General features: G+C 41.0%; 1 long non-coding RNA gene across 1 annotated transcript in view; it reads left to right on the top strand.

The window, feature by feature from the left end:
- The window catches only part of C1QTNF7-AS1 (C1QTNF7 antisense RNA 1), a 422973-nt gene that overhangs the window by 289687 nt on the left and 116999 nt on the right, over positions 1 to 16287 (top strand). The gene's annotated exons all lie outside the window — the stretch shown is intronic.

Genomic DNA, 16287 nt, shown 5'->3' with positions numbered 1-16287 from the left:
CACTACCTGAGACTGGGTAATTTATAAAGAAAAGAGGTTTAGTTGGTTTATGGTTCCACAGGCTGTACAGGAAGCATGGCTGGGAGGCCTCAGGAAACTTATAATCATGGCAGAAGGTGAACACATCCTACATGGCTGGAGCAGGAGGAAGAGAGCAAAGGTGGAGGTGGTACACTCTTTTAAACAACCAGATCTCATGGGAACACATTCACTATCATGAGAACAGCAAGGGGGAATTCTGCCCCCATGATCTAATCACCCCATATCAGTCCCCTCTCCAACATGGGGGATTACAACTGGACATGTGATTTGGGTGGGGACACAAATCCAAACCATATCAGGGAGGCATCAGGGCTCAGAGAGAGGATACATCAAAAGTTAGAAGAGAGTAAGATTTATCTACAATGTCCTTCACAAAGTTGAAGGGCTGTATTTGCCAGGCTATTTCAGTTTTGACAGAATTACCACCTGGATTTGATTAAAGCAAAGTAAAATCTACTGACTCCTACAAATGGGAAGCCAGGGGACCAAGTTGCCTTTTGTCTAAGAGTTGATTCAGGGCTCAAGTGAGGCTGTTGGTTTTCTTTCTCTGGCTTGCTCTCTCTCTCTCTCTCTCTCTCTCTCTCTCTCACACACACACACACACACACACACACACACACACACATTCCCTACTTTGCCAGCCAAACTTTCCATGCTTAAAGGAGAAGACAGCACCAGTGCCCTGAGCTTCACATCCTTCCTGTTCTAAGGTCAAGATGATAAAAGGGGTGGGGAGGAAATGTACTGGGCTTCCAAGTCCAACAACTAAAACGAGGTCCTGGTAACTCCATATGAAAGAGATTTTAGTCATTTATGGAGTATCCAAGTGACCGTCTGTATTCTATCATGATATGGACTTCTGTTCTCCTAGTCTGGCCCTGAAACACCAGGAAATGAAAATAGTTCATTCCCATTGGGTACTTACCAAATGTCAGCCTCTGTTCTTTTATTTATGTATTATCTCACTAAGTTCTTTAAGTAACTACTTACTGTAGTTCTGATGTGGTTTGGCTGTGTCCCCACCCAAGTCTCATCTTGAATTGTAACTCCACAATTCCCATGTGTCATGGGAGGATCCTGATGGTAGGTAATTGAATCATCAGGGTAGGTCTTTCTCATGCTGTTCTTGTGATAGTGAATAAGTCTCACGAGATCTGATTGTTTTAAAAACAAGAGTTTCCCTGCACAAGTTCTCTCTTTGCCTGCCGCCATCCATGTAAGATGAGACTTGCTCCTCCTTGCCTTCCACCGTGATTGTGAGGCCTCCCCATCCATGTGGAACTGTAAGTCCATTAATATCTCTTTTTCTTCCCAGTGTCAGATATGTCTTTATCAGCAGCATGAAAACAGACTAATACAGTAAATTGGTACTGAGAGTGGGGTGCTGCTGAAAAGTTACCTGAAAATGTGGAAGCAACTTTAGAACTGTGTAACAGGCAGAGGTTGGAACAGTTTGGAGGGCTCAGAAGAAGCCAGGAAAATGTGGGAAAGTTGGGAACTTCCTAGAGAGTTGTTGAATGGCCTTGCCCAAAATGCTGATAGTGATATGGGCAATAAAGTCCAAGCTGAGGTGGTCTCAGATGCAGATGAGGAACTTGTTGGGAACTGGAGCAAAGGTGACTCTTGTTATGTTTTAGCAAAGAGACTGGCAGCATTTTGCCCCTGCCCTAGAGATTTGTGGAACTTTGAACTTGAGAGAGATGATTTACGGTATCTGGCGGAAGAAATCTCTAAGCAGCAAAGCATTCAAGAGGTGACTTGGGTGCTGTTAAAAGCATTCAGTTTTAAAAGGGAAACAGCATAAAAGTTCACAAATTTGCAGCCTGACAATGTGATAGAAAAGAAAATTCAATTTTCTGAGGAGAAATTTAAGCTGGTTGCAAAAATTTGCATAAGTAATGGAGATCCAAATGTTAATCCCTGAGACAATGGGGAAAATGTCTCCAGGGCATGTCAAAGGTCTTCACAGCAGCCCCTCCCATCACAGGCCTGGAGGCCTAGGAGGAAAAAGTGGTTTCATGGGCCGGGCTAGGGACCCTGTGCTGTGCATAGCCTAGGGACTTGGTGCCCTGCAACCCAGCTGCTCCGGCTGTGCTGAAATGGGCTAATGTAGAGCTCAAGCCGTGGCTTCAGAGGGTGCAAGCCCCAAGCTTCAGCAGCTTCCATATGGTGTTGAGCCTGCAAGTGCACAGAAGTCAAGAATTGAGGTTTGGGAGCCTTTGCCTAGATTTCAGAATATGTATGGAAATGCCTGGATGCCCAGGCAGAAGTTTGCTGTAAGGGTGGGGTCCTCATGAAGAGCCTCTGCTAGGGTAGTGCAGAAGGGAAATGTGGGGTCAGAGCCCCCACACAGAACTCCTACTGGGGCACTGCCTAGTGGAGCTGTGAGAAGAAGGCCACTGTCCTCCAGACCCCAGAATGACAGATCCACTTGCAGCTTGAACTTTGTGCCTGGAAAAGCCAGACACTCAAGACCACCCTTTGAAAGCAGCCAAGAGGCTGTACCTTGCAGAGCCACAGGGACAGAGGTGTCCAAGACCATGGGAACCCACCTCATGCATCAGTGTGAACTGGATGTGAGATATGGAGTCAAAGGAGATAAATTTGGAGCTTTAAGATTTGACTGCCTCTTTGGATTTTTGACTTGCATGCAGACTGTAGTCCCTTTGTTTTGGCCAATTTCTCCCATTTGGAATGGCTGTATTTACCCAATGCCTGTACCCCCATTGTATCTAGGAAGTAACTAACTTGCTTTCGATTTTACGGCTTATAGGTTTGCTTTTGATTTTACGGCTTATAGGTGGAAGGGACTTGCCTTGTTTCAGGTGAGACTTGGAACTGTGGACTTTTGAGTTAATGCTGAAATGAGTTGAGACTTTGGGGAACTGTTGGGAAGGCACGATTGGTTTTGAAATGTTAGTACATGAGATTTGGGAGGGGCCAGGGGCAAAATGATATGGTTTGGCTGTGTCCCTACCCAAATTTCATCTTGAATTGTAACTCCATGATTCCCACATGTCATGGAAGGAACCTGGTGAGAGATAATTGAAACATGAGGGTGGGTCTTTCCTGTGCTGTTTTCATGATAGTGAATAAGTCTCATGAGATCTGATGGTTTTAAAAACAGGAATTTCCCTGCACAAGCTCTCTCTTCCCTGCTGTCATCCACGTAAGATGTGACTTGCTCCTCCTTGCCTTCTGCCATGACTGTAAGGCCCCCCCCCCCACCATGTGGAACTGTAAGTCCAATAAAACCTCTTTTTCTTCCCAGTGTCAGGTATGTCTTTATCAGCAGCATGAAAACAGACTAATATGAGTTCTATCATTATTCTCATTTATAGATGAGGAAAGTGAGACAAGGACCACTTGAGTCACTTCTCCAGTGTCTTGTAGCTATTAAGTGATAGACCTAGATATGCAACTAGATTGCGGTAGAACTAGATCTTCATGTCTGGGTAGTCTTGCTGCTGAGAACATACTCATAATCACCACACACCTGCACCTCAGTTACCAACTCTGTGACTTCCACATTTTATAGGACCTAGTAAAAGCCTCAGTTCCTCATGAGTAATTTTACATATTGGTGGAAGGAATAGAGATAATGAATGTACTTACGATGCATTATACATACTAGGAATTCCATCAATGCTAGTTAATACACTAGCCCAAGAAGATTATTGGCTGTGGATCCTAGTATATCTCAGGAAGCTCATAGGGATAAACTGGGGCAACAAGGACCAGAACTATCAATGACTTTGAGATCTTTGTGTTAATAAGCACAGATCTTTCATACAAGGGTTGTATGTTAGACTGCCTCAATTTTGAGATAGTGAATAAAATCTGGGGATGCAAGAAACAGCAAACTAACTCAAGTTGGTTTAAGCCTAAAGAGAAATTTGTTCATTCTCATAAAAGAATTGTGCACGATAGAGCTAGTGTTCAAATAACCATTTCAGAAATATGTCTTTTTCTCTCAGTTTTACTTTCCTATATGTTGACATATTTATTTAGGGTGGCAAAGGTGGGCTCCATAGGACATCTCTCCACATTTATACCTGCATCACTTTCTGAAACTTCCATCAAAAGGCCTGTGGAATCTCTCATTGATCTGGTTTAAGTCACTTGTCCATCCCTGAGACAATGACTATGGCCATGGGGATACAGTGTTCTGATTGACTACACATAACCTTCCCAGCTCACCCTCAGTTCTGCAGAGGAATATCAGGGTGCTATTACCAAAATAAAGAGGAAAAAGATCCAAGGCAGGATAAAACGTGCCTTTCACTATAGAGCATTGTAAACAAAGCGAAAACTTTCAGTTTGTCCAGTTGAGACAATGTTCTTGAATTTCATTTGTAAGGGGCAATGCCTTACTTGAATTTGGGAAAGTCTAAATCTGGCCTCACTTACAATGTTATCAGACTCTGTGAAAAGAAGTGAGGATGCAAACAAACAAACAAAAACACATACACCTTCTGTAGCCCTTAGGCTAGTGATCATTGTTTGATACAGATGAGTTAAGAATTCCAAAAATTATCTTGTAGTTTTACACTCCTGATACAAAAACCACTTGAGGGTTGGATATATAATCAAATATTAAGTATAAAATTAGTAAGTCACTAAAATAAAATGTAGGAATGTATTTATATAATACATTGGAGGAAAAAAAATATGTTCACCAAAATCTTTTGGAAGACAGTATTATGTTTGTTTGGAAGACATATTTAATAAGCTGCTTGGGTTTCAGACCAAGACCTTCAAGGAATGCTTGCACATCAAAAAGCAGTTCATTAATTGCTCTGCGCAATTAAAAAAACAAACAAAAAAAAAACAAAAAAACCTTTTGGTTCTCACCAGAGACAGAAAAGTGGAAAGGAGAGCATGCCTGTGGTTCCAGCTATCCCGAAGGCTGAGGAGGGAGGATCACTTGAGCCCAGGAGATTGAGGCTGCAGTGAGCAATGATCATTCCACTGCACTCCAGCCTGGGGGACAGAGTGAGACCCTGTCTCAAAAAGAAAAAAAAAAAAAAAGAAAGAAAAAAAAAGAAAAGAGAAAAAAAGAAAATGATAATAGGAAGTATTGTACTAAACGGTGATGTTTCCTTCATCATAAAACCCTCTCTCTCTTTCTACCCTCCCCCAATCAGCACAAAACAATTGGTGTGAATGGATTTATTGTTGAAACTGGTGTGTGGATGGACTAAGCTTCCTGCACACAGATCCTGCGACGGCAGATGCCACAGCTGCAGCGACTGCTACTGCACTCACATCTGGTTTCCATTTACCTAATCACAGGGTGGTGATGGGCTCTGAAAGCATGACCCCAAATGCAGAAATCATGAAAGAAACTAGGGCTAAATATGGTTGCATCATGCTAAAGAGATTCTGAATGGTTAAAATATTGTAAACAAAGTTAAAATGTCAGACAAACTGAAATAGTTTTTTTGCAATATAAATGATCAAAGCTTATCTATATAAAAATATTTTCATATTGGTAAAAAACAAATCAAAGGTAAATACCCCAATAGAAAGACAGGCAGATAATATGAGCTGGTCATTTTCAAAAGAAAAAAATTAAGTGGTTATAAACCTATTAAAAAGTCTATTTTTATCAAGAATGAAAGAAAGACAATCTACAATAAAGACATCATGAAATATCATTGTTTTCCTATTACATTGGGAGAAAAAGGGAGAATAATTTCCAATGTTTGCTAGGTTGTGGGGAAATAGGCACCCTTAAGAGAAATAAACTTTCCTAAGAACAATCTGGTAATATATCCTAGATCCTTAATAGTGTATCAATCTTTAATGAAAAAGAATATTTCTGGGGGCATAATCCTAAAGAAATATTTAGAGTTTAAAAATGTATGAGTACTGCAGTATTTACTGTGGCTTATTTATAAAAGCCAAGAATTAGAAATGACCTAACATTCAAAGGCCGCAGATCGGCTGCAGAAACTGTGTTATGTGCATATAACATATAAATACCAGGAAACTACTAAATATTGCAATATGGATGGATATGTGTGGACATTGACATATAGTTCTAATATCTATATATTATGGAGTGAAAAAAACTGGCTAGAAAATGATGTGCATATTTTGAACCTAATTTGTCATACAGAAAAACACACAAACACAAACATAGAAAAAAAAAAAATGCCCAAAGAGCATCGGCCAGATGTTTGCAGAGGTTATTTTTGGGTGATTGGATTATAGGTGTGTCCTAGTTTGTTTGTTGCTGCTATAACATAATCCCAAAGACGAGGCAATTTATAAAGGACAGAAATGTATTTCTCACATTCCTGGAGTCTTGAAAGCCCAAGATCTAAGTACCTGTAGCTGCAATTGTCTGGCAAGGACCACTCCCTGCTCCCAGGAGGGTAACTTATTGCCACATCTCGGGGTGGAAAGGAATGCTGTGTCCTCACATGAGGGACGGCCAAATGGCAAGAGACCGGATGCCGCATGAAAGCTTTCCTAAGGCTCTCAATCACATTCACATTCACAGGGAGGAGCCGTTATTGCCTAATCACCTGTTGAAGGCCCACTTCTTAATACTGTCACATTGGCAACACCTGAATTTTGGAGGGGACACATTCGAACCACAGCACAGTCTTTTCTACTTTTGTTTTGTTTTTTGTTTTAATAATTCATCTCCATGTTCTGAATCTCCTGAAAAGAAAGTTAGATTCTGATATCATAAAACAATACACATAAAATCAGAGTGATAGGCACAGATTGTGCCATGGAAGGGGTAAGTATAGCACAGTCTAGGAGCACAGGGAAGAGCCTTACAACACCCCCTGGGGAACTCAGAAGTGGATTCTGAGCTATCTTCCTTTGTACCATCTCTCTTCCCAGCTCTCCTACCACAGCCTGGCATCTCTGAATAGGGGCATCTTTCCACTACAAATCAGACTCTCCTGAACATCACCAATGAGCTGGACTATCCTGGATTCTCAGGTGCCCATCAAAATTTACCCATCCTCTGGCACCAGCCCCAGAGTCCTGGTGTTTACCAGCGTGCCCCTGCTTCTGTGGCCTTTCCCCATATTGTTCTCACTGCCTGAAAAGTCGGCCACTCATTCTCTGCCCAGTGATCTCCTTAAAGATTGTTTAAATGCCAAATTCACTGAACTGATCTTTCCCCTTGTCTCTGGCCATACCTGCATCCTACTCTGTTGTTTGGATGCCGGGGTCCCCCAGTGACTTGGAGCTCCTTCCTTCATGCCAGCTTCCCAGCCTGCCCTTCTGGCTGGGATTTGGGCAGTGTGTCTCTGCTGCCCCATAAGACAAAACCTCAAATGACATAGCATTCACTGCTCACAAAAGTGAATGCTCACCTGAGCCTGGGAGGATCACACAGAATCCCTCCCTGCTTTTCTGCTGGGAATCAAATCCAACCCCTTCACCATGACTTAGGAGGCTCTGTTAGGTCTGACACTGCTTTGTGGACCAGCTCTCCTCCTCTGCTCCTGTCCTCCCACTTCTGGAATGTGGCCACCACAGTAGAAACTGGGTTGGTTGCCTGGGTGATGGGGAAGTCACTGGCTCCAAGTATGCTGATGAGAGCTGAATGAGCTAGCAAGTGCCCAGTGGTCGGGCACAGGGCTGGTGTCCAGGGACATGAAAACTGGCAGCTGCGTGAGGCCCATCCCTCCCCCATCATTCAGGGCTACAGTTCATTTTTAGTATTTACAACCTATCAAATTTGGTGGTCACAGGGTTTTTGCAAATAACACTCAGTGGCATTTCTCAGCCCATAATTGGGAAATTCCTCTGAGTTTTCTAAGATTGATCAAAAGGTATGTGCTGTGATGACATGATATACAGGAGTCATCTCAGAAAATATCTGATTGGATTTGTTTTTAAGGGGATTCCTTGGATTGAGCAGAAGTGAAGAGAACAGTCAGGAGACCCTGTCTCCAGCTGGTCTGGGAAGGGTGACAATAATGGAGATGGAGGCACGTAGCTCAAATGGGGTATATTTTGGAGGTAAAGTTGACAGGATTTGCTAATGCATGTGATAGAGAAGGGGAGATGGAAGTGGAAAAATTATGGGAATTTTTTGTTTTTAGACTGAGCAACTGCATGAATGGATGATGGTGTATTTACTGAGAGAGAAAGGAGGCAGGCAGAGTAGGTTACAACTGTGGAACAGTTTACGGTGTGTTGGAGTGGGGGAAGAGAGGGTGTTCTCTTCCCTTCACATTACATTTGAGATGCTTGAGACATCCAAGTGAAGATGGCAGTTATGCAGTTCTTTATGTAAACTTGGAGCACAAAGTCTGAGCTAGAGATAGAAATCCTGTAATCAGCTGGGCATGGTGGCTCACACCTGTAATCCCAGCACTTTGGGAGGCCTAGGCGGGTGGATCACAAGTTCAGGAGATCAAGACTATCCTGGCCAACACATGAAACTCCGTCACTACTCAAAAAAATACAAAAAATTAGCCAGGCATGGTGGCGGGCACCTGTAGTCCCAGCTACTCGGGAGGCTGAGGCAGGAGAATGGCATGAACCCGGCAGGCGGAGCTTGAAGTGAGCTGAGATCATGCCACTGCACTCCAGCCTGGGCGACAGAGCGAGACTCTGTCTCAAAAAAAAAAAAAAAAAAAAATCCTGGAATCATCAACATAGGGGTAGATTTTTAAATCAGCAAAATACATGAGCAAATGTACAGAGAAGGATTGTAGAGTACCCAAGATCAACCCATGAGAGAAGCTGGGTCATCTTTTATAACTTTTCTGTATTCCAGCTTTCTTATCTGTAATATGGAGCTTTAAAAATGTACAGCATGTAGTTAAACGATATAAATTCAGCTTTTACCATTAGCATTATTGAAGATCAGTAAAAGGAGAGGCTAACAATGAAGATACAAAAAAGGAGACAATTAGGCCTGAAGAAAATGTGGAGCATGTAGTTCCTTTTAGAGAGCATGTACATATGTGTGTGTCCATGTGTGCATACACGGTTATGTACATGTGCTGATGCATATATATGTCCATGTGCAGGTACATGACTAGACACCTGTGCATACCTGTGCATAGACACTGTGCACATTCCTGTGTGTATATGTGCACCTGCACATATGTATGCATACTTTCATGTATGTGTGTATGTATGCCTGTGTGTGCACATGTTTGTATATGCAGTTGTGGTAGGAATAGAGGGGACTCAAATACTCAAGAAAAAAAACCCTGCCTTTAAGAAAATCTTAAAAGACCAGACCCAATTCTGTTCTGTTTACAACCTGAATGCATCCAAAGATGACTTTTTAAGTCATTGTTGAACAACAATGACACAATCTAACACCAAAGTCTTAGTCTATTTTGGGCTATTATAACAAAATACCATAAACTGAGTAGCTTATAAACAACAGAAATTTATTTCTCACCTTCCTGGAGGCTGGGAAGTCCAAGATCAAGGTAGACTTGGTGTTTGATAAGCGTCCACTTTCTGGCTCATAGGTGGCACCTTCTCGTCATCTTATGTGGAGTGAGTGTCTCTCTGGGGTCCCTTTTAAAAAGAGCACTACTCTCATAAAGGCTCTGTCCCCATGACCTAATCACCTCTCAAGGGCCCCAAACCCAAATAACATCACATTGGGAGTTACAATTTCAACATGTGAATTTTGAGGGGACACAAAGATTCAGACCATAGTGATACAGTTTGACTATGTGTCCCCACCCAAATCTCACCCTGAATTGTGATAATCCTCATATGTCAAAGGTGAGACCAAGTTGAGGTAATTGGATTGTGTGGGTGGTTCCCCCCATGCTGTTCTCCTGATAATGAATGAGTCTCACAAGATCTGATGGTTTCAGAAGTATCTGGCATTTCCCCTGCTTGCACTCACTCCATCCTGCTGCCCTGTGAAGAAGGTGCCTGTTTCTCCTTTGCCTTCAGCCATGATTGTGAGTTTCCTGAGGCCTCTCCAGCCATGTGGAGCTGTGAGTCAATTAAACCTCTTTCCTTATTAAATTACCCAGTCTCGGGTATTTCTTCATAGCAGTGTGAGAATGAACTAATACACATAGCACCCAGGTTTACATATAATGTAGTTTTAGCAAGTCCAGCATGATTATATCTGTCCTAAGCCAGAAAGCTCCCTGTACATTCTAGTGTAATTTATTACAGTTGAGCATGGGCTGTTTTTAAATACTTACCTATGGGCTCTCTCATGAAATTCTGGGTATAAATACCCAGGGCATTATTTTAAGCAGAATGGGACAGAGAATGAAAGCAGGAGAAATCCCAGAAATATCATTTAAAGAATTGACTTAATGGAAAAGGGGTTGTGTCCTGTATCTCATTTTATTTACTAATGACATTTCAGTGAGTTCTTAGGCAATTTGGAGAATAGTCTCTTAAAATAATAACAATAAAATCCACAGTCCTTGAGGAATACTTTGAGATTTTCAAAGCATATTTGCATCAGCTCCTTTTCTCCTTAGCCTTGTGTGAAGGAGGACAGAGAAGCCATCAAGAGTCCTGGAACCAAATATGGGCCTGAATTCTGCCTCATTCTCTCCATTAGTTTCTTGTGGCTTGGCCGGGCATGGTGGCTCATGCCCGTAATCCCTGAATTTTGGGAGGCTGAGGCGGGCAGATCACTGGCAGTCAGGAGTTTAAGACCAGCCTGGCCAACATGGTAAAACCCGTCTCTACTAAACAAAAATTACCCAGACATGGTGGTGTACACCTGTAATCCCAGCTACTAGGGAGGCTGAGGCAGGAGAATCGCTTGAACCTGGAAGGCAGAGGTTGCAGTGAGCTGAGATTGTGCCACTGCACTCCAACCTGGGTGACAAAGCGAGACTCTGTCTCAAAAAACAACAACAAATAAAAAAGTTTCCTGTGGTGCTGTGAAAGGTTATCACTAACTGGGTGGCTTAAAACAATAAAAATTCATTGCCTCACAGTTCAGGAGGCCAGAAAATCTCAATCAAAGTATTGTTCTGATTGGTTCCTTCTGGAGGGAGAATCTGTTCCATGCCTTGTCTTAGTCCATTTAGGCTGCTATAACAGAATATTATAATCTGGGAGCTTATAAATAATAGAAATGTATTTCCCACAGTTCTAGAGGCTGAGAGGTCCAAGATCAAGGCACTGGCACAGTTGTGCCTTCTTCATGGTTCAGAGATGGCCATCTGCTATTTATAAACTCACATAGCAGAAGAGGGAAACTCTGGTGTCTTCAGCCCCTTATAAGAGCAATAATCCCTTATTATAATGATATGATATAATAATAATCCCTGATCATAATATTCATGAAGGTTCCACTCCCATGACCTAATTATCTTTCAAAACCCACCTCCTAATACCATCACATCAGGGATTAGCTTTGAACATATGAATTTGAGGGGGATGCAAACATTCAGTCCATAACATCTCTCTCCTAGCTTATGGCAGTGGCAGCAATCCCTGGTGTTCTTTTCTTTCCTTTCTTTTTTCTTCTTTCTTTCTTTCTTTTTCTCTCTCTCTCTCTCTTTCTTTTTTTTTTTTTTTGAGGTGGAGTCTCTCTGTGTTGCCCAGGCTGGAGTGTAATGGTGTGATCTCAGCCCACTGTGACCTCCGCCTCCCGTGTTGAAGTGATTCTCCTGCCTCAGCTTCCCGAGTAGCTGGGATCACAGGTGCCTGACATCATGCTTAGCTAATTTTTTGTATTTTTAGTAGAGATGGGGTTTCACCATGTTGGCCAGGTTGGTCTTGAACCCCTGACCTTAGGTGGTCTGCCCTCCTTGGCCTCCCAAAGTGCTGGGATTACAGGCGTGAACCACTGCACCCAGCCTATCCTTGGTTTTCTTAGCTTGCAGCTGCTTCACTTCAATATCCACCTGTACAATCACATGACCTTTTTTTTGTATGACCCTCTGTGTCTTCACATGGTTTTCTTATAAGAACACTAGTCATTGGATTTAGTGCCCACCCTAACCCACTATGACTGCATCTTAATTACATCTGCAAAGATCCTATTTACAAACAAGGTTACATTCTGAGGTTCTCAGTGAGAAGGAATTTTTAGATGGCACTATTCAACTTAATACAATCTCTTACCATTTGTATAAGTTTCTCAGAGAATATGTTCTTTCATTTAAAAATACGCAAGTGCTATACTATTGGGTTATTGTGTGAGTAAATCAAGAAAAACAGGAACCACACCTAGCACAATGCCTAGTATATTATAGACCATGAAAGCTGTGTTACTAAGTTTAGATCCTGGCTATGCTAGAAGATCATAGACCTCTATGAGTATTAATTTCCTATTTTCCTATTTCCGATTAATCCTCTTGAAGGAAAGGACAATGTTTTGCTGCATTTTTTCCGTTGTTGTGTTTCCAGAGCTTTCTAAAATGCATGGTCAATAGTGAATGCTTACCAAATTGTATTGGCATGAACAAATGCTAGCAAAGGTATATGTATCTTACAGAAATGATGGGAAGATGAAATGAGAAGAAATGTCTGCTTCTAAGAACTCAATAAAATGTCTATTCTCTTTTCTCTCCCTCTTTTATAGTACAGACTACAAATAGTGGATGTATTCAGAGAGATGACACTAGTCATCAGTTTAAGGCTCAGGAAGGAGTCAGGGGAGGGGGCTCTGACCTCAGCTTTAATGCTTGGGTAGAGTTTGGAGAATGAGGAAGAGCAAGCTATGCTAGCTTGCCGAACTACAGGACACCTTTTACTTAATCCACAAATAAAATTTTTACAGCCAGCTATGTGTCAGGCACTGTGCTTGTGGTTAGGATATTGAGGGGAGCCGCCCTTTCCTCTTTTGCTCTTCACTTTAATAAAGAAAATAGACCTAATCAGGTTAATGTAATATTATAGGACCCTGTAGAGACATTTTCCAGGGTAAGAATTTTCTGTGAAATATTGCAGACATGCACAAGCATGTAAAAAAAAAAATAATGAACATCACATACCCAGTTAAAGGAAGCATTGCTAATACAATAGGAGACCCCAATTGGTACCTCTCTCTGTGACAGTTGAGAATGTTGTTCATGAAGTAAAGAAGAGAAGAGAAATGACTGTTCCAAGGTGCCACATGGCAAAAAAAAATTCACCTTAGGGTTTCCTAACCTTCCATAATGCAAAAAAGGCATGTTGTCTGATGGTATTTATTTGTTGCTTTCATTTTTAGCAAGGTCATGTATCTTTTCAGTTTATAGGGTCTATGTGGCTCAATAAGAAAATTCAAAATTCCCCATCCCTTCTTTCATTCCACTATTCTTCCTACAGATAATAACTTACCAATCATTTAGCTAATTATTTTGATAATACCATAAGACCTCTAAATAATATGCTGAAATTACTTCATTTTTCATTTTTAGGCATCATGTATGGAATTCCTCCAGTGAAAACTGAGGCCTCATGTCTCTGTGGTACCTCTTCCTTATCTCACCCATGCACCTTCCCTGAGATCTCCATCCCCTAGATGGAAAACAGAGCTATGAAAACAGAGCCCTGAAAGAGACCAGCAAAGATGGAAACTTAATATTTAACAAACCTGGTTTTGTGGCTAGTACAGCAAGGATAAGCCATTCAATAAATTCCACAGAGATAATTGGTTATCTGTAAGTGAAAATAAAATAAAATTGGATCCCTACCTCACACTGCACACAAGAATCCATTCCAGAAGGGTTAGAGCATTAATGTGAGAAACAAAACTTTAAACTATTAGAAGAAAACATAGAAACATAGGAGAATGTGCCCAAAATTAAGGGTGACAAAAATACACTTGACTTCCAGAGAGAGAAGGCATCTCATCTGAAATACTACACATACCACAAAGTTGACTGTGCCCAGGACCCCCTCCTCTTCTTTGCTCTCCTACCCTTATTCTCACAGCTCAGGTTGTATGATGTTGTGGGGGTGGTGACAGTGAGAGTAATTTTGCTAACAGTTAGAAAATTTGGGGGCTGGCTGATTAGAATGTGGGCTAGGAGAGATCCTTTGTCCTCAGCTTTGGACCTTCATCACCAATTTCAAGTTCCAGGAACAGTTCCACTTCACATCCTGTTACATTGCCATTAAATGGGAAGATGACTCCCTTGGAAATGTGTCCAGGGAGTATGCAAAGGATCACTGTGCCATTCTCACACCTCAGGTCTTTAGAATAACTTGTTTCATTTGTTTGCTTCTATAAGGTTTTTATGTCTTTTGAGGGGCAACAGAGGATTAGATTATAGATTTTTGTACTACTGATTTAAATTTTTGAACCAATATAGATATAAATACATGTTTTCATTTTAACTGATTTTTAACTTATTTTACATTGTGGTCACAGCATGTAGTTTCTATGACACCAATTATTTGCCATTGTTTGAGACTTGCTAGATGGCTTAGCATGCAGTCAGTTTCATAAATATGCTATGTCTTCTTGAGCAAAAGTATATTCACTTAATGTTGGCACAGGGTTCATTATATATCTATTAAATCTGTTTAATTGCATTGCTCAAGAGTTCTAGTTTTTTATGATATTTTCTGGTTTGGTTTGTCAGCTACTGAGATAGATAAGTTTCAATCTCATTGTATGGGTGGTAGATTTGTCATTTCTCCTCACAGTTGTTTTTCTCATTTTTTGCTGTAGTATTATGAGCATAAATGTTTAGAATTATTATATCTTCCAAGTGATTACAACCTTTGACTATTAAATAATAACTCTTTTCATCTCTGGAAGATTTTTCCCCTCCTTGGTCTATTTCCTCTGATATTAATACAGCTAGGACAGTTTGTTTTTGAATTGTATTTACCTGGTAGGTTTTTCCATCCATTAACCCTCAAACTTTATGCTTTCTTTTCTTTTAACTATGTCTTCTGTAAGATACGATTTTAATCTTTACCCATTCTATCTATTTCTGGAAGATTTGTGTCTTATATATTGCGATTATGATCTCTCAGGGGTTGTTTCTTTCATACTATTTACAGCTTTACAGCCAGGCACAGGAAGACAAACATCGCATGTTCTCACTTATTTGTGGGATCTAGAAATCAGAACAATTCAACTCATGGACATAGAGAGTAGAAGGAGGGCCAGAGGCTGGGAAGGGTAGTAGGGGTTTTGGGAGTAGATGGGGATAGTTAATGGATACCAAAAAAGAGAATGAATAAGGCCTACTGTTTCATAGCACAATAGGGTGACTATAGTCAATAATAACTTAATTATATATTTTAAAATTAATACTGTAATTGGATTGTAACTCAAAGGATAAATGCTTGAGGAGATGGATACCCCATTCTCCATGATGTGCTTATTTCATTATTTCACCTTGCATACTTGCACCAAAATATCTCATGTACCCCACAAATACATACACCTACTATGTACCCACAAAAATTTAAAAATAAAAAATATAATAAGAAGAATTTTTCATTTCCTGTTTTTTTCTAATTATTTTCCTTTTTCTGTTTTAAATTGATTGAGTTTTAGATTCCATTTGCTTTTACATCCTGCTGGATTGAAAGTTATATGCTCTTTTTAAGTTCTTTTATTGGTTTCTCTTAAAGGTTGTACATATTCATGTGATAATATAATAAGGGCATGCTGACCTCTTTGAAAAAATTGGAAAAAGTGATAAAACAGGAAGGATGGACAAGAGCATCTAAGTGAAAATTAGAGAGAGTAATTGTTCCAAGTAAAGAAAACAGGCTATCATTCTAAAGGCCTGAGGGGTAAGAATGGCACAATAAGCTTTTTCTCATTCCCCTGGACACCATTTCCAAGGTAGTCATTATCCCATTTAATAACAATGTCACAGAATGTTGAGTGGGACTTTTCCTGAATTCTTCAATTGGAGGACAAATAGGCTCCAGTGGCTCCTATTCTAAACAAAACCTCCAACAGACACAAGGATGAAGCATCATGACCAAGGTTTCCTAAGAGGTGGGCCAATTAGCCCCACTACCAGCCACCATAGCCAGTACTGCCCAAGCTGTGAGAATGAGGGGAAGGGAGCACTGAAGAGGAGAGACTTGTAGCAACTGACAATGTTGTTTAAGATGAGACATCGCCCCTCGCTGGAAGCCAGGTGTGGGTGCTCTAAGGGCATCACTTTCAGAGGCTGGAAGCCTCTCACTTGCCAACTGGCTGTGGCCAAACTGAAGAACCTTTAGGCTTTCTTTGGTGCAGCTATTAGAGAGAGTGAAGCAAGGTGTGACAGGCAAAATTCTGAGATGGTCTCCAAGATTCCAGGGCCCTGGTATACACACACCTTCTCCCAGTTTACCAATCAA

Source organism: Homo sapiens, chromosome 4, assembly GCF_000001405.40.
Source record: "Homo sapiens chromosome 4, GRCh38.p14 Primary Assembly".
NCBI lineage: Eukaryota > Metazoa > Chordata > Mammalia > Primates > Hominidae > Homo > Homo sapiens.
Note: the sequence above shows the minus strand (reverse complement) of the source record. Positions and strands in the feature narration are given on the sequence as shown.